This window comes from Homo sapiens, chromosome X, assembly GCF_000001405.40.
Source record: "Homo sapiens chromosome X, GRCh38.p14 Primary Assembly".
Taxonomy (NCBI): domain Eukaryota; kingdom Metazoa; phylum Chordata; class Mammalia; order Primates; family Hominidae; genus Homo; species Homo sapiens.
In genome coordinates this window covers 71,447,481-71,470,513 of record NC_000023.11, presented here as the reverse complement: position 1 = coordinate 71,470,513, position 23,033 = coordinate 71,447,481, and the positions used below count along the sequence as shown (strand labels likewise).

At 43.5% G+C, this 23,033-nt stretch overlaps 1 protein-coding gene across 28 annotated transcripts in view, besides 2 other annotated features; it reads right to left on the bottom strand.

The window, feature by feature from the left end:
* The window catches only part of TAF1 (TATA-box binding protein associated factor 1), a 164,169-nt gene that overhangs the window by 60,012 nt on the left and 81,124 nt on the right, over nucleotides 1-23,033 (bottom strand). For 5 of the 28 annotated variants that reach the window (XM_047442391.1, XM_047442392.1, XM_047442393.1 and 2 more), the window contains 8 exons: nucleotides 16,277-16,344; nucleotides 15,657-15,773; nucleotides 12,148-12,273; nucleotides 11,263-11,364; nucleotides 10,806-10,962; nucleotides 9,711-9,888; nucleotides 5,951-6,690; nucleotides 4,509-5,756 (listed from right to left, as the gene is read on the bottom strand). In XM_047442391.1, the coding sequence (XP_047298347.1) occupies nucleotides 6,468-6,690; nucleotides 9,711-9,888; nucleotides 10,806-10,962; nucleotides 11,263-11,364; nucleotides 12,148-12,273; nucleotides 15,657-15,773; nucleotides 16,277-16,344 (971 nt within the window). In that variant the 3' untranslated portion in view covers nucleotides 4,509-5,756; nucleotides 5,951-6,467. Of the gene's footprint in view, nucleotides 1-3,566; nucleotides 4,247-4,508; nucleotides 6,691-9,706; nucleotides 9,889-10,805; nucleotides 10,963-11,262; nucleotides 11,365-12,147; nucleotides 12,274-15,501; nucleotides 15,508-15,656; nucleotides 15,774-16,276; nucleotides 16,345-23,033 lie in introns of those variants that run through there. The other 23 variants (XM_047442395.1, XM_047442396.1, XM_047442399.1 and 20 more) reach the window with 12 other exon arrangements.
* Nucleotides 17,085-18,080: an enhancer, noted in NCBI's record as "H3K27ac hESC enhancer chrX:70672284-70673279 (GRCh37/hg19 assembly coordinates)". NCBI's record gives its function as "activates a minimal SCP1, AML or CMV promoter by ChIP-STARR-seq in naive H9 embryonic stem cells {active_cell/tissue: H9 hESC(naive)}" and the evidence as "EXISTENCE:reporter gene assay evidence [ECO:0000049][PMID:30033119]".
* Nucleotides 18,081-19,077: an enhancer, noted in NCBI's record as "NANOG-H3K27ac hESC enhancer chrX:70671287-70672283 (GRCh37/hg19 assembly coordinates)". NCBI's record gives its function as "activates a minimal SCP1, AML or CMV promoter by ChIP-STARR-seq in naive H9 embryonic stem cells {active_cell/tissue: H9 hESC(naive)}" and the evidence as "EXISTENCE:reporter gene assay evidence [ECO:0000049][PMID:30033119]".

The window sequence follows — 23,033 nt, the reverse complement described above, 5'->3', positions numbered from 1 at the left end:
ATCCCAGCACTTTGGGAGGCCAAGGCAGGCAGATCATGAGGTCAGGAGATCGAGACCATCCTGGCTAACACAGACATATATATATATGCGCATAATACATGTGTATACATATATATATACACACAGAAAATATTGTGGTAAAAGAAATGTCACCTATAATCTCATTACTGAAACAATTTTCATTTTTGAATATCACCTCTCCATCTTTGTTCCCTCAATTGTGTAATATTACCTGATAGCAGTCATGGTGCACAAAACATGTTTTTTAAACTTTTATAAATTATTATTTTACAATATTATTACTCTTTATAGGAAATTAGACAATATAAACAAAAAGAAGTGATATAAACCTGTAATCCCACAGTCTAGAGAGAACCTCTGTTAACCTGTTTGTCTATAGCTAGCTTCCAGGTTTGTTCTTACACAGCTGTGTGTATATAATGTATATAATTTTTCAAAACTAGAACATAGTTGCACGTAACACTTTATATAATGCTTTATTTTAAAACTTTAGGCCAGGCACGGTGGCTCACGCCTGTAATCCCAGCATTTTGGGAGGCCAAGGAGGGCGGATCACCTGAGGTTGGGAGTTCAAGACCAGCCTGACCAACATGGAGAAATCCCATCTCTACTAGAAATACAAAATTAGCCGGGCATGGTGGCACATGCCTTTAGTCCCAGGTACTCAGGAAGCTGAGGCAGGAGAATCGCTTGAACTGGGGAGGTAGAGGTTGCGGTGAGCCAAGATCACTCCATTGCACTCCAGCCTGGACAACAAGAGCGAAACTCCGTCTCAAAATAAAATAAAATAAAATAAAAAATAAAACTGTATTATTAATGTATTTGTTCCGGAGACACTTGAGGTGGGAGGATCACTTGAGCCTCAACACCTCAGGCTCAAATGATCCTCCCACCCGAGCCTCCCGAGTAGGTGGGACTACAGGTGTGCACCACCATGCCTGGCTACTAATTTTTTCATTATTTGTAGAGAGGAGGTCTCCCTATGTTGCTAGGCTGGTCTTGAACTCCTGGACTCAATCAAGCCTCCCTCCTCGGCCGCTCAAAGTGTTGGGATTACAGGTATGAGTCACTGTGCCCAGCCACCATTATTATTTTCCAGACCTTTTCTACACTTAACAAAAAAAGTGGTCATACTTAATTTTGTATATTGTCTCACTTATTATGTTATGAGCTTTTCCCCATTTCCCATGTTCATCTTGTGGCCATACCCTTTTTCTTTGTCACCCAAGCTGGAGTACAGTGGTGTGACCATAGCTCACTGCAGCCTTAAACTCCTGGGCTCAAGGGATCCTCCTGAGTAGCTGGGACTACAAGCACATGCCACCACACCCAGCTAATTGTTTTTTTATTTTAGTAGAGACAAGGTCTTGCTATGTTGCTCAGGCTGACCTCAAACTCCTGGGCTCAAGCCATCCTCCCGCCTTGGCCTTCCAAATTGCTGGGATTACAGGCGTGAGCCACCGCACCCAGCCTCCATTTTGTTTTGCTTTGTTTTGTTTTGTTTTGACATAGGGTCTCCCTCTGTTGCCCAGGCTGGAGTGCAGTGGCACACTCATGGCTCACCGTAGCCTTGACCTCAGTCCCAAGCGTTCCTCCTGCCTCAGCCTCCCAAGTAGCTGGGACCATAGGCTTGCACCACTATGCTTGCTCCCTTTTTTTTTTCGTAGAGACAGGGTTTTACCATGCTGCCCAGACTGGTCTTGAACTCCTGGGCTCAAATGACCTGCCCACCTTGGCCTCCCAAAATGCTGGGATTAAAGGTGTGAGCCAGCAGACCCAGGCTGTTTCAATTTTTTTTTTTTTTTTTTGAGAGGGAGTCTCACTTTGTCGCCCAGGCTGGAGTGCAGTGGCGTGATCTCGGCTCACTGCAACCTTCGCCTCCCGGTTCAAGCGATTCTCCTGCCTCAGCCTCCTGAGTAGCTGGGATTACAGGCGCCTGCCACCACGCCCAGCTAATTTTTGTATTTTTAGTAGAGACGGGGTTTCACCATGTTGGCCAGGCTGGTCTCAAACTCCTGACCTTGTGATCCGCCCACGCCAGCCTCCCAAAGTGCTGGGATTACAGGCGTGAGCCACAGCACCCGGCCTCTGTTTCCAATTTTTAATATTAAAAATATAATGCTTTGATGGGCATATTTTACATGGATCTTCATGTTCATCTCTGATTATTTCCTTAGGATAATTTTCTAGAAATGACATTACTAGATGCAAGGGTATGAAAATTCTTTTTTCTCTTTTTTTTGACAGGGTCTCTGTTGCCCAGGCTGGAGTGCAGTGGCACTATCATGGCTCACTGCAGCCTCGATCTCCTGGGCTCAAGCGATCCTCCCACCTCAGCCTCCTAAGTAGCTGGGACTACAGGTGTGTGCCACCATGCCCGGCTAATTTTTATATTTTTAGTAAAGATGGGTTTTCACCATGTTGCCCAGGCTGGTCTTGAACTCCCAGGCTCAAGCGATTCACCCACCTTGACCTCTCAAAAGTGCTGGAATTACAGGTGCGAGCCACTGTGCCCAGCCTGAAAACTTAATGCTCTTGATGCACGGTGTCAAATAGCTTTCAGCAAAGTTGTACTGAGTTACACTCCCAAGCAGTGTTTCAGGGCCTGGTTTACCACATTCTCATCATAATATTTTCTTTAAAGGTATACTGTGTTTAAAAACATGTTTTGAAAACAGGTAGTCCCATGTTCAAATCCTGGCTCTACCACTTAGTGATGTTACGAATGTCACTTAATCCTTCTAATCTTCAGATTTTGTCATCTGTAAAAATAGGCATACTACCACCTACCCTCAAGGTTATTGTGAGGATTAAGGGAGACTACAAACTAGATTGAAACATGTGAAATTGCCAATATTTATTCTTTTTGACCTACAAAAATGTTTTTCATATGGTTAAACCTAATACATAAAGCATGTTATGTGATCTGGAATATTATGTGATCAATAAATTGTAGATATAGAAATTATTATCATGGAAGTGGGATGATAAAAGTGAATGGCATCCTTACTGAAACCTCCCAAACTTAGAAGAAATAAGCACAGATAAACTCAAGAAAAACTGGCCTCTTTAGAAAAGGATTGGAAGCCAGGAGTGGTAGCATGCACCTGTAGTCCCTACTACTTGGGAAGCTGAGGTGGGAAGATTGCTTGAGCCCAGAAGTTCTGGGTTATTATGCTTGAAGGCAGCATGCTCGTTGAGTCATCACCACTCCCTAATCTCAAGTACCCAGGGACACAAACACTGTGGAAGGCCGCAGGGTCCTCTGCCTAGGAAAACCAGAGACCTTTGTTCACGTGTTTATCTGCCCACCTTCTCTCCACTATTATCCTATGACCCTGCCACATCCCCCTCTCCGAGAAACACCCAAGAATCATCAATAAATTAAAAAAAAAAAAAAAAAAAAGAATGCCCTCCCATCCCACCCCTATGAATATCTGGTAAATTCCTTTCCACTCTTCATGGTTTTTTTTAAGGGTCTCCTCTGTGAAGCATTCTTGTTCCTACTTCGTAAAGAGTCAAGAACTTTTTCCTCTCACCACGGATTCTTGTAAATATTTATTGCAATGATCACTTTTTATTAAACTTGTTTATTTACATATCTACCTCTCATTCTAGACCTTAAGTTCCTTGCAATCAGGAACTATATCTTACTTCTCTATCAGCATCTGGCAGGCTGCTTATAAAAACAAGTGGCTTGGCCAGGCACAGTGGCTCATGCCTGTAATCCCAGCACTTTGGGAAGACAAGGTAGGTGGATCGCTTGAGGTCAAGAGTTCTAGACCAGCCTGGCCAACATGGTAAAGCCCCGTCTTGGCTGGGCGCGGTGGCTCACGCCTGTAATCCCAGCACTTTGAGAGGCCAAGGCGGGCGGATCCTCTGAGGTCAGGAGTTTGAAACCAGCCTGGCCAACATGGCGAAACTCCGTCTCTACTAAAAATACAAAAATTAGCTGGGCATGATGGCAGGCGCCTGTAATCCCAGCTACTGAGGAGGCTGAGGCACAAGAATCGCTTGAACCCGGGAGGCGGATGTTGCAGTGAGCTGAGATCGTACCACTGCACTCCAGCCTACAAAAATCAGCCCGGTGTGGTGATGCGTGCCTGTAATCCCAGTTACTCAGGAGGCTGAAGCAGGAAAATCGCTTGAACCCGGGAGGTGGAGGTTGCAGTGAGCCGAGATCACACCACTGCACTCTAGCCTGGGCAACAGAGGGAGACTCCATCTAAAAAAACAAAACAAAAATAGGTGGCATGATAAATGTTAAAATGAACCAATGAATACCATGTACTCACCCAATCCCCCCAACCAAAATTCTGGAAGCCACCTTCCATTCCTCCTTCTCTACCCACAAATGCCAAGTCCTACTCCCTAAAGATCTCTCAAATCCATCCCCCTCCTCCCCATCCCAATGCCATAGCACCAGTTTGGGCTCCATTCTCTCTTACTTGAACTAGATCCATCCAAACCATTCTCCACACTACTGCTGGAATTTTTTAAAATTTTTATTACAAAAATAATACATACTGTAAAAAAATTCAAACAATATAGAAATAAAAGCACAATATCCCACCCAGCATACATAACAAACACAGAAGCCCCCTCCCCTCCAATCCCATTCCTGGGGGGTTATCATTGTGAACAGTTAGCATATATCCTTTCAGACTTTTACCTTTGCATACACAAGTATATATATAAACACATATAAACACACATGGTTCTTTTACAAAAATGCGATCACATATGTTACATGATTCTTCAATTTCTTTCTTCATTCATTCATTACACAGATTTCTAAAACACAAACCTGATTATATCACTCCTCTAAGAGCTTATTTCCCATAATATAAAAATCATACACATTAACATCAAACACAAAGCTTGTGATGATATACTTCCTGCCCATCTTTCAGTCTCATCTCAGCCCTTCCAGCATTAAAGGACTGGAATATAAACCACATTAAATCCTTCCTGGAACAAGGCAGGTACAAACAAACAAACAAACAAACTAGGAACACACTCTGCCATTTCTAGACTGTGGCCTTTCCCATTCATGTTACACTTTGCCTGGACTTTTCCATCTGGCAAGCTTCTACTAATTCTAAAACAATCAGCTTAAAAATTACCTCTAGGAAGACTTTCCTGACTTTTCAGACATGATTACTCCTCTATTTCCCCTATACTTTATAACTAGCTTCTTAATTGCACTTATCTCACAGTACTATGATGATTTATTAACATGTTTTGAATTCCACTTTCCCTCCCCCAACTTGATGGTGAGCTCTTTGGGTAAAAGGGATTTGTCTTATTTACCTTTGCATCCCAAGGATCTGATAGAGTGCTTATCATGAAAAGCAGATGCTCAGTAACATATCTGTTGAGGATTTTATGATTCTAGGAACATTTACTGAGTACCTACTATGCACAGAACCATATCCTAAGCATGAAAAGAAACAGAAGACACAGTCTTTGCCCTAAGAAACTTACCATTTTCCTACCATTTCCCCTGGGGAGGGTGGGGGGGACAGAAAACATTTAGGTGGCAACATTATCATTTCTGACATATAGGCTGTTTCAAAATTTACGGTAATTTGCCTCCAATCCATTTAGGAACTAGGCATTGCATAATTAAATAATAAAATAATGGGCGGTTTGTCTCACAGGTTTAAGTGTAGCACAGAGTCCACTAGAACCCAATTCTCTGTCCCAGCAGGAGGGCTCTCATCTGCTCCAGCCTGTAAATTAGAAAAGTGAGATGATACCATGCTTGGAAATTTTTTTTTTTTTGAGACTGAATCTCACTCTTTCGCCCAGGCTGGAGTGCAGTGGCGTGACCTCCACTCACTGCAACCTCTGCCTCCCGGGTTCAAGTAATTCTCCTGCCTCAGCCTCCCGAGTAGCTAGGATTAACAGGCATACGCCACCACACCTGGCTAATTTTTGTATTTTTAGTAGAGATGCGGTTTCGCCATGTTGGCCAAGCTGGTCTCGAACTTCTGACCTCAGGTGATCTGCCCGCCTCGGCCTCCCAGAGTGCTGAGATTACAGGTGTGAGCCACCACGCCTGGCCGGAAATTTCCTAATACATCAAGAGGACATAAAGTTACTAGTTCTTTCATAATTTCCCCTCCTTCCCCAGGGAAAAATTATACCAAAAGCAATAAATGGAGTTAAATAAAGGAGGACACGGAAAAATGAGCTTGCTCTTTTCCGTAGTGGTAGGGGAAAGGGGGTTGCTTTGTTTTAAATCAAAGGGTGACATTGCCCCAGGAAGATTAGGAGAGGTGATTTATTATCATTTACTTACTACTTTTAAAAAGGCTAAGGTGTTAGTTAATTTCATGATTTCAGGATCAGATACTGTACAAATATGAACAAATTGGGGAAAGGTGAACCACCTAGGCTGGAGAACAGGGAAGGCTGACCAAGGAGGCCCAAAGGAAGCCTCATTCATCAGAGTCCAAGTCACTGTCCCCAGCAATGGAGTGGAAATCCTCACTGTCCTCCTCGTCCTCTGACAGGTGGACCTGGCTTAGTACGCTCGGCCCAGAGCGCTGCTCTTCCTCCTCCTCATCTTCTTCCTCCTCTGATACCTCATACCCACCGATGCTGCTGAAGCTTGTGTCTTGGGTGTTCGACTTGGGATCAGGCTCCTCATAGCTCCCATAACTGAGAAGAGAAACATGTCATCTCTCAAGCTCGGACACCATCCTCTACCTGACCATTCCCATTCTCAGTGCCACCAAAGGATCAGCCCATCTCACCTCCCCTGGACACTAAAGTGACTGGTTCTGGACTATTCTACATGTCCCTGAGAGAAAAATGACCCTGTTCAAAAACATCAACTTGCCAACGTCATATACACAAGAACCTGAATGGAAGAAACTCCCTTACACCTGAACAACACACTGCCATCTTACATGACCATAAATGCTCTGACAGCCTCATGGTTTCATCTACCACTTACAGTATCCAATTAGTCAATAGTCCTGAAGATTCTCTCTTCAATATATCTTGTCTCTATCCCCTCCTTTCCATCCCTACTCTGCCTACCTTGGCTTAGTCCTTTGTTATCTCTGGCCTGCACTACTGAAATAAGTCGTCATGCCGCCAGTCTTGCTCTCCTCCAATTACTTCTTCACACTTCTGCCAGAGTGCTCTTTATTTTTTTGTTTGTTTGTTTATTCTTAATTTTACTTGAAAAAAAAATCACACAAGTAATGCACGTTCACTGGTTAAAAAAATTAGAATATACACCAGAAAAAAATTTAAAAAAATCAATAACTCCATCATCCAGAGATAATCTTTTGGTATATTACCTTCCAAAATTTTTTGTGAACTTTAGATGCTTAAACATTTTTTTTAATTTACAAAATTGGGATACTCTACATACTCTCCAGGAAATCTGCCCTCTTCACTAATGATTATAATGAACATCTTTCCATGTCAATAAACATAACGTCTATAGCATAATTTTAATAGCTACATGGTATTCCACACATGGCTGTAACATGACTTAACAGTCTCTCACTAGGACATTTAAGCTGTCTCCAATTATTCCACTATTAGAAACAATGCTGTCATAAAACATCCTTACACAAACATCTTGATGGTGTGTTAATTATTCCCATAAAATAATTTCCTAGATGTGGATTTTTTGGGCCAAAGGGGATGCACGTTTTTAAATGTTTTTATTTATGATGATAAATAAATAAGCCTCTCTCCAAACCACCCCATTTCTATCAATCGACATTACCACCAGTAGTTTGAGAATGTCTTTTTCCTCATAGCCTTTCCAAACACTAGGCATTATCATTCACTTTAATCACCAATATGATAGGTAAAAAAATTGCACTTCGTGGTTTTACTGCGTTTATTAGGGGAGTTACTATTATTGTTGTTATTATTTTTATTATCATTTTGAGACTGAGTCTTGCTCTGTCACCAGGCTGGAGTACAGTGGCACGATCTCGGCTCACTGCAACCTCTGCCTCCTGGGTTCAAGCGATTCTCCTGCCTCAGCCTCCTGAGTAGCTGGGACTACAGGTGTGACCAGGCCCAGCTAATTTTTGTATTTTTAGTAGAGACAGGGTTTCACCATGTTGGCCAGGATGGTCTAGATCTCTTGACCTTGTGATCTGCCTGCCTCGGCCTCCCAAAGTGCTGGGATTTTAGGCATGAGCCACCGCGCCCGGCTGGAAGTTATTTTTTCATATGATATATTGGCCATTTACATTTCTTTTGTAAATTAGTTCATGCCTTTGCCCATTTTTCTTTTGGGGCACAGGACAATCTTTCTAAAATGTAAATCTGGTCATACTATTCTCATTCAATGACCGCCCAGAACTTTCAGGCCCTTCATGATTTGGTATTTACCTACCTCTTTAAGTCATTTCTATCACATGAATTATAGATCTTACATGGATCAATCAAAAAATCTCCAGTCACACTGAGCTACGTGTGTTCTCTGAAAGCGTTTCATGCCTGTGAAGTGTTTCATGCCTGTGTCTTCATATAGGCTCTTCCTAGTCTCTGGAATGCCCATTGCTTTCTTATTCGTTTAGCTAATTCCTATTCATATTAGGCTCAATTTCCTTCTCTAGCCAGCTCTCCTCCCTCCCCACCTCTACCCAAGTCCTAGAAAAACCCTGCGGTTGCCTAGCATAGCACTTTTCATATTACACTATGATTGCCTGTTTTACCTGTTTTAGGTTTCCTACTAGACTGATCTCCTTGAAGGAAGGGACCATATCTTAGTTGTTTTTGTACTTATGATAAATATTTGCTGAAGTAAAAAATTAATTTGTTTACAATGTTATTGCATATTATCTGCTTGCTGGTTAGATGTATCATAGATACATTAAATTTAACTTGTCCAAAGCCAAATCCAAATCCATTTTTTCCTCCTTTCCTGCCCCATCTAATATGTATTCTTCCTCTTTCCTCTACCAGACATCTCCATTCATTATTCATCTAACCTCCTTACCTCTTTATGTCCCTTTATTTTCCCCACTCCTGACAAGTCCCTGTTGATATCCTCATCATGTGTCCCACATTGTCCTAAGTTATACAAATTTGATGTTACTTCCTTTTCCTTAAACTGATGACTCCTATTACCCGCAGGTTAAGGTCCAAAGGTCTTAGCATGCCTTTTAAAGTCCTTCACAATATAATCCCCCTTGCTACACTTCTGGAGCCTCAACTCCCCAACAACTTCCATTTGCTCTGGAACATACTTTGTGTTCTACTTCTGTGTCTTTGAACACATTGTTCCACCTATAAAGTTCTCCCCACCCCCTGCCATAGTACCTACTTAGTAAACTCCTATTAATCTTTTAAGGCCCAATTCAAATGTTCCCTTGTCTGTGAAACTTTCCCTGATAACTCCAAGCAGACTGAGACACTCCCTTCTCAGTGGTGCTTTGGCACTTTGTCTTACTTACGCTATAGCACTTATCACATTGTATTTGTAATGATTTGTTTGTGTCAGTCTTTTCCACTAGGCTGTGGGCTCCTCAAGGGCAGGATATGTTTTGCTCCTCTGTGTATCCCCAGAGCCTAGCACAGTGCCTGGCCCTAGTAGGTGCCCAGGAAATGTTTGATGGATGAAAAGTAATCTGATGTTGGGCCCCTCAACATCATAGCTGGGCACTGATGCCACAGCCCTGTAGCATGTTGCTGTCGATTACCTGATGTTGCTATCCTCCAAACCATGGGAAGCCTCCCCACCGTCTCCCTCATAGGACATCATGCTTTCTTCATTTTCCATGTCCATCCTTGTGTTCTCCTGAAGCATGCGGGGTTGTTTGGGTCTTATTCCACCAGATCCCACATCAGAGTCACTTCCACTTTCACTCAGCTGGATAGCTGTAAAAAGAGACAGATTCTGGGTCATCAAGAGTTAAGCTTGACAGATTTAACTTGATCTTTGGCTTGATCTTCCCAAACTAGTAACTCTCACACATCTACACAGGTATCTTGCCTATACGCCTCTCCTCAAATGCCTCTTATAACTGCCTAGGGTCAACAGCAGCAAGGTTTGTAGTTTAGAATCTGAATCCAAATAACAATTTCCTTTTCCATCTCATGCCAACCTATCTGTATTTTTTCTACCATCTACTCCCATACTTTTCCTCGGCCATTGCCATTAATCCACAAAATATCCCCAAACAGGATTTTTCTTAATTTTCCTTCCCTGTTGCCACATATAACACTTGATCATTCTGTTCTCATCTTTTTTTCTTTTTCTTTGGAGACAGAGTCTCACTATGTTGCCTAAGCTGTAGTGCAATGGTATGATCATGGCTCACTACAGCCTTGAAGTCCTGGGCTCAAGCGATCCTCCTGCCTCAGCCTCCTAACTAGAACTACAAGCACTCGCCACCACACCCAGCTAATTTTTATTTATTTACTTTTTGTAGAGACAGGGTCTCGCTATGTTGCCTAGGCTGGTCTCAAACTCCTGGTCTCAAGTGTTCCTCCTACCTTGGCTTCCCAAAGTGCTGGGATTACAGGCATGAGCCACTGTGCCCAGCCTTTAACAAGTATCCAGATCAAAGCTGTTACTTAGGCACTGTCTTTTCCACTGTTGTCTTTTGTACCTCCTGCTAATGAATATGATCATCCTACGCCTGAGTGCTCAGTACTCTCAGGTCTATTAATAGGAATTCAATAAAAGAGGCAGCTTCCAATAAAAGCATATGTGGCCAAGAGCGCCTATCCAGTCCAGTTCTGAGGGTGCTGTAGTGAGTTATAAAGGAATAGAAGCAATGGTTGAGGCCTACCAGAGAAAGGATTGTCTCCTTCTTCATCACTCCCAGCATCTTCCTCATCATCTTCTCCTTCAGACATAAGCAAATCCTCATACAGGACACTGGCTTGAGGCTGTTGTACAGTTCCTTCCTCTTCATCTGCAAGATCACCATCTCCATCTTCACCTTCCTGAATGAGACCAGTTGGGGGTCAAAGTCCTATCAACTGACCACATAAGAGACCAGAAGCCACCACCAGGCACACCCCCCCTCCCCGCCCCGCCCATCCCTCCACTTGCTGCCTCACAAGAAGTTAAGTAATTATTTTTGGTGGATAGACTGTTTAGTTGGTCCCAAGGATTAAAGTCAGATTGGGGCTCACTAAGGAGACCCCCTGATATCATCTTAGGATTTGGCCTGGCCTGTACTGATGGGGCTCCTATCATATAAGGGCATAACGTAACCATAAGCTTTCTATAAGCATACTCACTGGGGCTGGAGTCTTAGGTTTCCCATCCTCCTCCTCATCATCATACCCTTCAATATCTACATCAGAGTCTTCCTCGCCCAGCCTACCTCGGCCCTGGCGCATCTGAGTAAGGAACACAAATAGCACATCATTGAGGGACGTGCCTGTAGGAGGAGTTAACCAAGGGCTCTCACCCAGGGTGGATGCTCCTCCCTGATATCCCAGCCAATCCCACTGCTAGTGGGGGCTGTTTAGACAGCTCAAGGCATGCGCATTTTCCCCCATTCTTTGGAAATCACAGCCGGAGTAAAAAACCCAAAGAACAGGAAAGGCTCTTAGTCTACTCTTACTGTATTATTACAAAGAGACTCTTCCTTTCTAACCCAAACTTTCCTTATAGCTTGTGTTGAACTCTTTGGGATAGAAAAACCCTCCTGGGTTTTACACTTTCCAGTGGAACCCTGACTGAGAATAGCTGTAGAAAAGCTGTAGATATTTCTGATACCTCTAGAAAAGGCCAATTTTTAAAATTTAATTTTATAAATAATTTTAATTTAAATTATAATACACATAAAGTAGGCCAATTATTTTGAACTGTCTGAGTGCAGTTGGTCGCTCTAGTCACCCGTCAGGCTACTCTGATGCTTCACACCCTTTTTTCATACTTGTGTCTTCCCTGAAGTTCTGCTGTGCCTGACTCTACCCATGGGGACAGAGAGAATATAACACCAGTCACACGACCTGCTGCCATCCCAACTTGAAATCCCATTTCTAAGCTTTCATTCCCAGGGCCAAAGGGCCCAGTCATTCTTGACATATGTCACATATCACCATCACCATCACCATTCCCCTAGCCCCACTTGCAGGCACAATAACAATCTTATAAAGAGAAAAAGAACATCCTACCTGTGTTACCTGCTTTTCTGGAGTGGCACTGGGAATATCCAAGACAGACATATTGCTCTCATCTTGAAATACAGAGGCATCTCGAGACATACTGAGGGATGTGTTGGTATCATACAAATCAGGAGGCTGTGGCACAAAACATACAACTTAGCTTCTATCTAGGAAAGGGAAAATAAATACAGATAACTCCCCTTTAAGGCATTTACTGGAGAAAAAGATCATGCAGAGCAATTCAGTTAAAGAGAAACATAGTTTGACACAGCTTTACAGACAAGTTTTTGGGACTCTTATAAATGTTGCCTATTCTAGTAGACAGGTGCCTGATGCACGTAATCAGAAGCCTGAAGCAGAAATGCACCAAAGCTATGGGACAATTTTATGTCCTAACAGCCTTTCTGGTCAATAACCTAGTTTTTTTCTAAGCCTTGTCTTTCGGTTTTTAGGCCCAAGGCTTCATATCAGTGCTATTTTGATTGCTTGATTTGGAGACAGAGGAAATGAGATAAAGGAATTTCAATTCCAACAAGAGCATAGAATGCTTTGATAGTTTATGAGCCCATCAGAGGATGCTACGAAGCAAAATGGCATGGTGAAAAATCATAGGCCTTGGAGTAAAATGTCCTGGGTTTGAGTCCTGGCCCCAACACTTGCTAGTGAGTAACAAATTACTTAACATCTCTAAGCCTTGATTAACTCAACTATAAAACATGGATGATAATGTCTACCTCACAGGGTTGTTGTGAGAATTAAGAGATGTGTAAGTTCCTTACCCATGCCTGGTACTCAATATATTATAGATCCCTTCCCTGTTTTCTGCCCTGGAAAGAACAGGGATTCAGCAAATGGACTATTCTGTGACAGGAGGGCAAGAAGGACTAGATAAAGTGCTCACAAAATAATGTAAAGTGAAAAGAGTTAAGACACAAAACCATATTGATCAATTTCATTTTAAAAGTGTGTCTATAAACACAAATACATACGCTACAGATATGAAAGAAATAAAAATATTCACACTGGCTGATGTTGCTTCTGAGTGGTGGAAGTGATTACAAGAGGTAACTTATTTCTTGTTTTTATTTTCCAGTTTTCTCTAACAAACATGTTACTTTTATCAACAGATAGAACAGATATGTGTTACATTGTGTTTTTTAAAAAAGGAAACAAAACTGATTCAGAAGAGGGTTTTGGAGAAACAGAGGCAAAACAAAATTCAAAGCATTACAGAGCAGGTAAATCAATGTGGAACAGAAGAAAGGAAAAATAAGGGGATGAAATTTCTGCAAAACCCTACGGCACAGTGCAGAAAACTGCAAAGTCAACAGTTTTAGATAAGGTGTTAAGCTGAACAGATGATGCAATCCAAGTTAGGTGGAAACAGTTGAGTGAAAATACATTATTGGGCCGGGCGCGGTGGCTCACGCCTGTAATCCCAGCACTTTGGGAGGCCGAGGTGGGCCTGAGGTCGGGAGTACGAGACCAGCCTGACCAACATGGAGAAACCCTGTCTCTACTAAAAATACAAAATTAGCCAGGCGTAATGGCCCATGCCTGTAAAACCAGCTACTCGGGAGGCTGAGGCAGGAGAATCACTTGAACCCGGGAGGCGAAGGTTGCAGTGAGCCGAGATTGCGCCATTGCACTCCAGCCTGGGTGACAAGAGCAAAACTCGGTCTCAAAAAAAAAAAAAAAAAAAAAAAAAAAAAAAAAAAAAAAAAAAGAAAATACATTATTGACCACCACCATTTAGAAGTTGAAAGGTATGATTACTATCATGCTTCTTACAACCAACATTGTATTAAGGCAGGTTACACTTTTGCAAACACACTCTAATAACATTTGAGTTTGACAGTAGTAATGTAAGTAAAGTAAGGACAGTCACTCATGTACACCTTCCTCAGGTTAAGAGATAATGAGTTGGTTACTATCTTAAACTGTTTGTGAGTGAAGGGAATGATGAAAAGGTGAACTGGAATAATGAAGCAGTACTATCTAATCCTACTCTTCATAGGAAACCCTCTAACTGCACCAAATGACAGCTAATGCTCAAGAGAGAAATAGCTAACAGGTTGTCCTTAGCCATTTGAGGTAGTCTGGGAGACGTAGTGAAGAAAGGAAGGTGACTTTGGGGTCTAAGGCTTTGACTCACCAAAGGACTAGGCTTAGGCTGTCCTAGAAATGAGCAAACCATGTGCCATTCAATGGCTAGACTCTCCTGGGGAATGATGGCTAATACCCAGGCTTTAACTTACCAGAAAGTACCTTGTGGAAGCTGTGGGCCTATTAGCAAATAGGGCCTTCCTGGGCAACATCACTCACCCAAGCCCCCTTGACCCAATCTGCCCACACACTCCAAGAGCCTTTCCTTGTTCTGGACCTTGAAGAAGTATCTGAGGGTTCTTTTATACCTGGCCCCTCAGTAACCTAGGTTGTGAGATGAAAGAGAGAGTAAAAGATAGATAGGGATAGTGCATGAACGAGATATAGAGACAGCAATAATCCAACAGAGGTCACATAGGTTGCATTATCAGTTCAGAGGGAAACCTGGATAGAATGAAAAAAAATTTTCCTGTGGGAATTGGCAGAGTTCTGCATTAAAATATTTGATTAAATTTGAAAGGGTCTCAGAGAACAGATAAAGATGTGTCAGGCAAATTAAATTAATTCATTTAATGTTTACAACAATCTTGAAAAGATTTCAGAGAAAAGGAAACTAAGTGAGAGAGGTTAACTTTCCAAGATTACAAAGCTAGACAGCAGGAGAACTAAGACTCAAACCCAGGCCTGCTTTATGTCAATTCTTATGTACTTTCCACCCTACCATAGTGCCTCCAATACAGAAACCAAGCACCAGTGATATTCTGTTAAGTCCTATTCTTCAAATATGCCAACCCTCTAAGAGTACAGTATGGAGGAAATATACTCTTAGTGTATTTCAAGGGTTCAGTTAGACCAGGAAGACTAAAAATTTCTTATTTATCCTGCTCTCTCATTCTTTTGACATGAACATTTAAGAACATTATTAATACTACCTTTCTTCATTTACTAGGAGTCAATCCAGGAAAATGGGTGACTTCTGAGCTACACTGAGATATCTCTGAGGGAATGAGTAATCAAGTGTCTGTAAGGCACAGGAACAATATGGCCCATGTCTGTAACTGAGAAGTCTACACTCTAGGGATGTTCTAGAGTCCCAAAATTCATGGACAAGAAAATTCCCGAGACCCAGAGGATGGCTGGGTCAGGGATCTGATATTCCCAAACACTGCCTAAACAACTAAGGCCCCACCCCATTCATTCATCCCACAGCTGCCTTTTCTGGATTCAAGGCCACCAAGACCCATGGCCCTCACTCACCTTAGCCTTTGAGAAGACAAGAAAGCACACGAAAGGCATATGAAGAGGAAGGACAGAGAAGAATGGTATCTCAGTAAACGGATTTGTTAACATGCTCCCAATTTCCCAAACCAATAAGAAAACTATATGAGGAAGTACTTAGTCCTCAGACTCACCTGAGGCGTGTAGGGCCCTGGGGTCATTGGGTCCAGGCTTTCTAATTCTGCTTCCTCCAAAGCTGCTTCTTTAGCAGTACAAATATCCTTCTCAAGTTGAGTCAAATGTTCATCATACTGAGAAACAAAGAAAATAAATTCATTCAACATGTATTTTAAGTACTGGGGATACAAAAGTAAACAAAAGACAAAAATATCTATCTTCATGGAGCTTATATTCTAGTGGCAGGACACAGATAATAATCAAAATAAATTAAGCAGGGAAGGAAACAGGGGATGCGGAGTTGGGGGGTAGGGAATACTACATTTTAAAATAGGATAATCAGGGAAAGCTCCTCATTCAAGGGAACAGGATTTCAAAAAGCTAGATCCCAAGGAGACCTCTTTTATTTTTTGAGACAGGGTTTTGCTGTTGCCCAGGCTGGAATGCAGAGATATGGTCATGACTCACTGCAGCCTTGACCTCCCAGGCTCAAATGATTCTCCTACCTCAGACGAGTAGCTGGGACCACACGTCCCAGCTGTGTACCACCAGACCCCACTAATTTTTAAATCTTTTTTTGTAAAGATGGGGTCTCCTTATGTTGCCCAGGCTTAGGACCTCCATCTTTACCACCTACCTCAGTCAATGTCTGGTAACAGACGTTCACAATCTCCTGGGCAGTCTTAGTATACTGACTCTCAGGTCCTATAAATAAAATAAGAAAGTGCCATTATCTTTGCAGACTTGTTCCAGAATTTTACATTCTGTCATCAGCAGTGTGTCCCATTATCCTAGACCTAGAAAAACCATGCCTCAGCTTTAACTTGGACTCTTGTTCTACTTTCAGAGGCAGAAAATTCCAAACATATGCAATACAACACTAACATAATGGACTCCCATGTACTCACTAGCCAGATTCAATGATTAACACACAGTCAATCTTGTTTCATTTACTTCAATTTTCAGACTCTTCTCAAATTGTTTTGAAGCAAATTCCAGCATCATAACAATTTTCCTCTAAAAATTGTTCAGTATGTGTTGCTAGGTTTCACCATGTTGGCCAGGCTACTCTTGAACTCCTGGCCTTAAGTGATCCGCCCCCCTCAGCCTCCCCAAGTGCTGGGATTACAGACATGAGCCACTGTGCCCATCCTAAGGATGCTTTTAACAAACAATTATGTCTGATAATATAATGGTGGATACATGTCATTATACATTTTTCAAAACCCATACAATGTATACCACCACCAAGAATGAACCATGGACTTGGGGTGATAATGATATGTCATTGTAGGTTCACCAACTAACACAATTAATATAACACTCTGGTGCAGGCTGTTGTTTTTATTTTGAGACAGAGTTTCGCTCCGTCACCCAGGCTGGAATGCAGTGACATGATCATGGCTCACTGCAGCCCTGAACTCCTGGGTGCAGGCATGCACCACCATGCCCATTTTTCTTTGTTTGTAGAGATTGGGGGTGGGGGGGGGGTCTCACTATGTTGCACAGGCTGGTCTTGAACTCCTGGCCTAAAGAGATCCTCTTACCTTGGCTTCCCAAAGTGCTGGGATTACAGGCGTGAGCCACAACGCCCAGCCTGGTGCAAGATGTTGATAACTGGGGAGGCTGTATGTATGTGAGGGCAGGGAGTATATGGGAACTCTCTGTAACTTCTGCTCAATTTTGCCATGAACTAAAGCTGCTCTAAAAACAAACCAACTGGTCTGGAGTAAGACAGAATTCCTCCTCTCCCTCTCCCTCTCCCTCTCCCTCCTCTCCCTCTCTCTCTCCCGTCTCCCCACGGTCTCCCTCTCCCTCTCTTTCCACGGTCTCCCTCTGATGCCGAGCCGAAGCTGGACTGTGCTGCTGCCATCTCGGCTCACTGCAACCTGCCTGCCTGATTCTCCTGCCTCAGCCTGCCGAGTGCCTGCGATTGCAGGCGCGCGCCACCACGCCTGACTGGTTTTCGTATTTTTTTGGTGGAGACCGGGTTTCGCTGTGTTGGCCGGGCTGGTCTCCAGCTCCTAACCGCGAGTGATCCGCCAGCCTCGGCCTCACGAGGTGCCGGGATTGCAGACGGAGCCTCGTTAACTCAGTGCTCAATGGTGCCCAGGCTGGAGTGCAGTGGCGTGATCTCGGCTCGCTACAACCTCCACCTCCCAGCTGCCTGCCTTGGCCCCCCAAAGTGCCAAGATTGCAGCCTCTGCCCGGCCGCCACCTCGTCTGGGAAGTGAGGAGCATCTCTGCCTGGCCGCCCATCGTCTGGGATCTGAGGAGCCCCTCTGCCTGGCTGCCCAGACTGGAAAGTGAGGAGCGTCTCTACCCGGCCGCCATCCCACCTAGGAAGTGAGGAGCGCTTCTTCCCGGCCGCCATCCCATCTAGGAAGTGAGGAGCGTCTCTGCCCAGCCGCCCATCGTCTGAGATGTGGAGAGCGCCTCTGCCCCGCCACCCCGTCTGGGATGTGAGGAGCACCTCTGCCCGGCCGCGACCCAGTCTGGGAGGTGAGGAGCGTCTCTGCCCGGCTGCCCCGTCTGAGAAGTGAGGAGACCCTCCGCCCGGCAACCGCCCCGTCTGAGAAGTGAGGAGCCCCTCCGCCCGGCAGCCGCCCCGTCTGAGAAGTGAGGAGCCCCTCCGCCCGGCAGCCGCCCCGTCTGGGAAGTGAGGAGCATCTCCGCCTGGCAGCCACCCCGTCCAGGAGGGAGGTGGGGGGGTCAGCCCCCCGCCCGGCCAGCCGCCCCGTCTGGGAGGGAGGTGGGGGGGGGGGTCAGCCCCCCGCCCGGCCAGCCGCCCCGTCCGGGAGGTGAGGGGTGCCTCTGCCCGGCCGCCCCTACTGGGAAGTGAGGAGCCCCTCTGCCCGGCCACCACCCCGTCTGGGAGGTGTACCCAACAGCTCATTGAGAACGGGCCATGATGACAATGGCAGTTTTGTGGAATAGAAAAAGGGGAAAGGTGGGGAAAAGATTGAGAAATCGGATGGTTGCTGTGTCTGTGTAGTAAGAAGTAGACATGGGAGACTTTTCATTTTGTTCTGTACTAAGAAAAATTCTTCTGCCTTGGGATCCTGTTGATCTATGACCTTACCCCCAACCCTGTGCTCTCTGAAACATGTGCTGTGTCCACTCAGGGTTAAATGGATTAAGGGCGGTGCAAGATGTGCTTTGTTAAACAGACGCTTGAAGGCAGCATGCTCCTTAAGAGTCATCACCACTCCCTAATCTCAAGTACCCAGGGACACAAACACTGCGGAAGGCCGCAGGGTCCTCTGCCTAGGAAAACCAGAGACCTTTGTTCACTTCTCTGCTGACCTTCCCTCCACCATTGTCCTATGACCCTGCCAAATCCCCCTCTACGAGAAACACCCAAGAATGATCAATAAAAAAAAAAAAAGGAAAAAAAAATAAAAAATAAAAACAAACCAACTATATCACATCTAAAATAATGAACAATAATTATTTAATATTATCAAATAGCCGGCCAAGAGTCAAATTTCCCAAATTACTTTATAAACACTCTTTTACATTTATTTCTTTGAATCATAACCCAAGAAAGGTCCATACATTGTATCTGGCTGATGTGTCTCCTTAAGACATTTTTACCTATAAGATGATTCTTAACTATATGGGTCCCCATATGGCCTTAGTTACAAGTTGCAAACTGGTGGCTTGTAGTTTGTTTGGCTCACATAAAAAATTAGTTCAGTTTGTAAAAATGGATTGAGCTATATACCCATAATACATAAAACACTTTTCTGTATCTAAGTTATATTTCAATAGAAGGCTTTTTTGAAAAAAACTTAGTTGATAACATTTAACAGATGGGAGATTTCACATAAAAACCTAAATTGTCTGGCTTCTTTTAGAAAATTTAAAGATGTGGCCAAGACAGAGTCAGCTTTCCCACAAGGCACCAATGGGCTGGGGCTTAGTAGCAGCTGTTCCTCTTAGATAAAGTATGTGTTCTCCAGGTTATCAAAGTCCCTCCCAAGTCTGCTTATCTTCTGCCTAGACACTGAAGGCATTTGAGTTTTCAATCCCTGCCTTAAATACTTAAAATGTTCTTTTAATATACTGATCATTCACTTATTTATTCATAAGACATTTTCTTAATACTTTTTGTGTGCCAGGCATTGGAGATGATAGAAATGAGTGAGATATAGGTCATATCCTCAAGAAGTTTATAGTCTAGTACAGTGAAATAGACTGTAAACAAATAGGGCAATACAATGCAATGGAAAAATAGTGGCACAAAGAAGGAAGTGGCTGATTCTGGGAGGTAAGAGGGGAAGAGGAATTAAGAAAGCCTTCACAAGAGGTGATCCCTAAATTGAACCTACTGTTTTATCAGGATATAAAGGATAAAAAATATACCACAGGCCAGGCGCAGTGGCTCAAGCCTGTAATCTCAGTACTTTGGGAGGCCGAGGTGGGGAGATCATTTGAGGCCAGAAGTTTGAGACCAGCCTGGCCAGCATGGCAAAACCCCGTCTCTACTAATAATATAAAAATTAGCTGGGCATGGTGGTGCATACCTGTAATCCCAGCTACTCGGGTGGCTGAGGCATGAGAATCACTTGAACCCGGGAGGCAGAGGTTGCAGTGAGGCAAGATCATGCCACTGCACTCCAGCCTGGGTGACAGAGCAAGACTCTGTCTCAAAAAAAAAAAAAAGTCTCTTCCAGGTAAAACGTCTTACAAGTATAGGTCATTTATTCTTTAAAATATGTAAAATAAAGTTGTATCCTCACAGAAACTGCCTGTGCCAAACACAAACAAAAAAGAAAAGTCAATTGTCAAGATATTTAGAGCCGGGTGTGGTGGCTCACGCCTGTAATCCCAGCACTTTGGGAGGCTGGGCAGGATGATCACTTGAGCTCAGTAGTTCAAGACCAGCCTGGGCAATATGGCGAAACTCTGTCTATACAAATAACGTAAAAATTAGCTGGGCGTTGTGGTGTGCACCTGTAGTCCCAGCTACTCAGGAGACTGAGGCGAGGGGATCGGTTGAGCCCAGGAGGTTGAGGCTGCAGTGAGCCATGATCACGCCACTGCACTCCAGCCTCAGTGACACAGCAAGACTTCATCTCAAAAAAACAAAAAAAGAAAACAGAAATGTTGCTGGAGAAAATAGGCTGCATACAGGTTACAGGCCTCCTTCACCAAGCCTGTACAACGGTAGTTCCTTACAGTATAGGCTCTTCTACCTATAGGGACCTGCCTCATGGCTAAAACCCCAGCCTATAAATTAGGAATTCAGCCTTTATTCTACTTTAGTTTCGAAACTTAAACATGAACCAACCTCTCAATATCTCAATTCCCTCACTTTATAATACAAGGAAAAATTAGTTTTATACATTCGTGAAGTTTCTCTCTTACTTTAATCCATTTTGAAAATGGGACCTCTTCCTTACCCATTTTCTTTGCAACACATCACTCTAAGAAATATCCACTAATGGCTGGGTGCAGTGGCTCATGCCTGTAATCCCAGCATTTTGGGAGGCTGAGGCAGGCAATCACCTGAGGTCAGGAGTTTGAGACCAGCCTGACCAACATGGAGAAACCCCGTCTCTACTAAAAATACAAAATTAGGCCGGGCACGGTGGCTCACGCCTGTAATTCCAGCACTTTGGGAGGCCCAGGTGGACGGATCACCTGATTGGGAGTTCGAGACCAGCCTGACCAACATGGAGAAACCCCGTCTCTGCTAAAAGTACAAAATTAGCCAGGCGTGGTGGCACATGCCTGTAATCCCAGCTACTCGGGAGGCTGAGGCAGGAGAATTGCTTGAACCCGGGAGGCAGAGGTTGCGGTGAGCCGAGATCGCGCCATTGAACTCCAGCCTGGGCAACAAGAGCTCTCAAAACAAAACAAAAAAATAAATAAAAATACAAATTAGCCAGGCGTGGTGGCACATGCCTGTAGTCCCAGCTACTCGGGAGGCTGAGGCAGGAGAATCACTTGAACCCAGGAGGCAGAGGTTGTGGTGAGCCGAGATCACACCATTGTACTCTAGCCTGGGCAACAAGAGCGAAACTCCGTCTCAAAAAAAAAAAAAAAGAAAAAGAAAAAGAAAAAGAAAACAAAAGAAATATCCACTAATACCTCTAGAATATTTAAAAAAAAAACCCACACTTACTTGCATAGCTGATACACTTATGTGTTTGATATTAGCTGTTTGTGTCAGTTTTAGACAGTCCATGTTCTCAATAGTTACAAGAGCTTCAGCTATTAGACTCTATTACACTATTATAAGCAAAGGAGCATTTAAGTCTTTCTAATGAAATATGCTGGTGGAACTGGCAAACCACTGTTAAATTGTGGATAAAAATATCCACTGTGATGTTTTCTTATCCCTACCTATACCAGGAGTTCTTATGAGAGACAGAGCTATGAATCCCTTAGAACTATAAACAAAATTCTGTATGTAATATACATTTTTGAGAGCAGAACAGCCTTAGTTTTTCATCGGATTTTCACAGAGATCCATAACCATCTCCAAAAATCTAAAAATATCGTTCTACATTCTGGAGCAATCAGGAGCTTACTAAAAGTAGGATGATCAGCTATAGGTTTTGTAGCTTAGGAAGAAATGAGGAATCCAAGTAAAGAGACAAAGACAATAGAGCCTCTACAGGAATAGTAAAGTTGCTGAAGCTACTGTAGGGGGGCTGGGAAGAAGATTAAACAGAATTGAACTCCAATTCCCAGTCCCTAAAGGGTTACTACACAGAAAACCAGAATTCAGTTATAAAGAATTTCTAGAATGACACCAAAATGAATGAAAGATAATCTGTGACTTGTCACTATAAGAATAAGCTACCCACTCACGAAAAGGAATGTTTTTTCTGAGTATATTTTGCTTTTTCTCTTCTTGTTAAATCATGGCTGAAGCAACTCTACATGTCACGTTGGAGAAACGTTATTTATTTATACTTTGCCTCATACCAAATAAGGAGCGGTAGGGTCTACAGAATCACATACAATTCGAATTCAAATGTCCTTAAATAGAGATAATGCCAATGACAGCTTTGGAAAGTTGATATTCCACCAAGAAAATTCCTTTTCTGGTTTATAAGTTAATTTCCTTCTGTATGGTGATGTGAGAAGAAACGCAAGTCACAAGCTTCATGGTTCCAGTAAGGGGGGAAAGCAAGCATTATTGCTATTTTTTTTTTTTTTTTGACACAGTGTCTCGCTCTGTCACCCAGGCTGGAGTACAGTGGCGCGATCTCTGCTCATTGCAACCCCCGTCTCCCAGGTTCAAGTACTTCTCCTGCCTCAGCCTCCCCAAGTAGCTGGAATTACAGGTGTGCACCACCACACCCATCTAATTTTTTAGCAGAGACAGAGTTTCACGATGTTGGCCAGGCTGGTCTCGAACTCCTGACCTCCAGTGA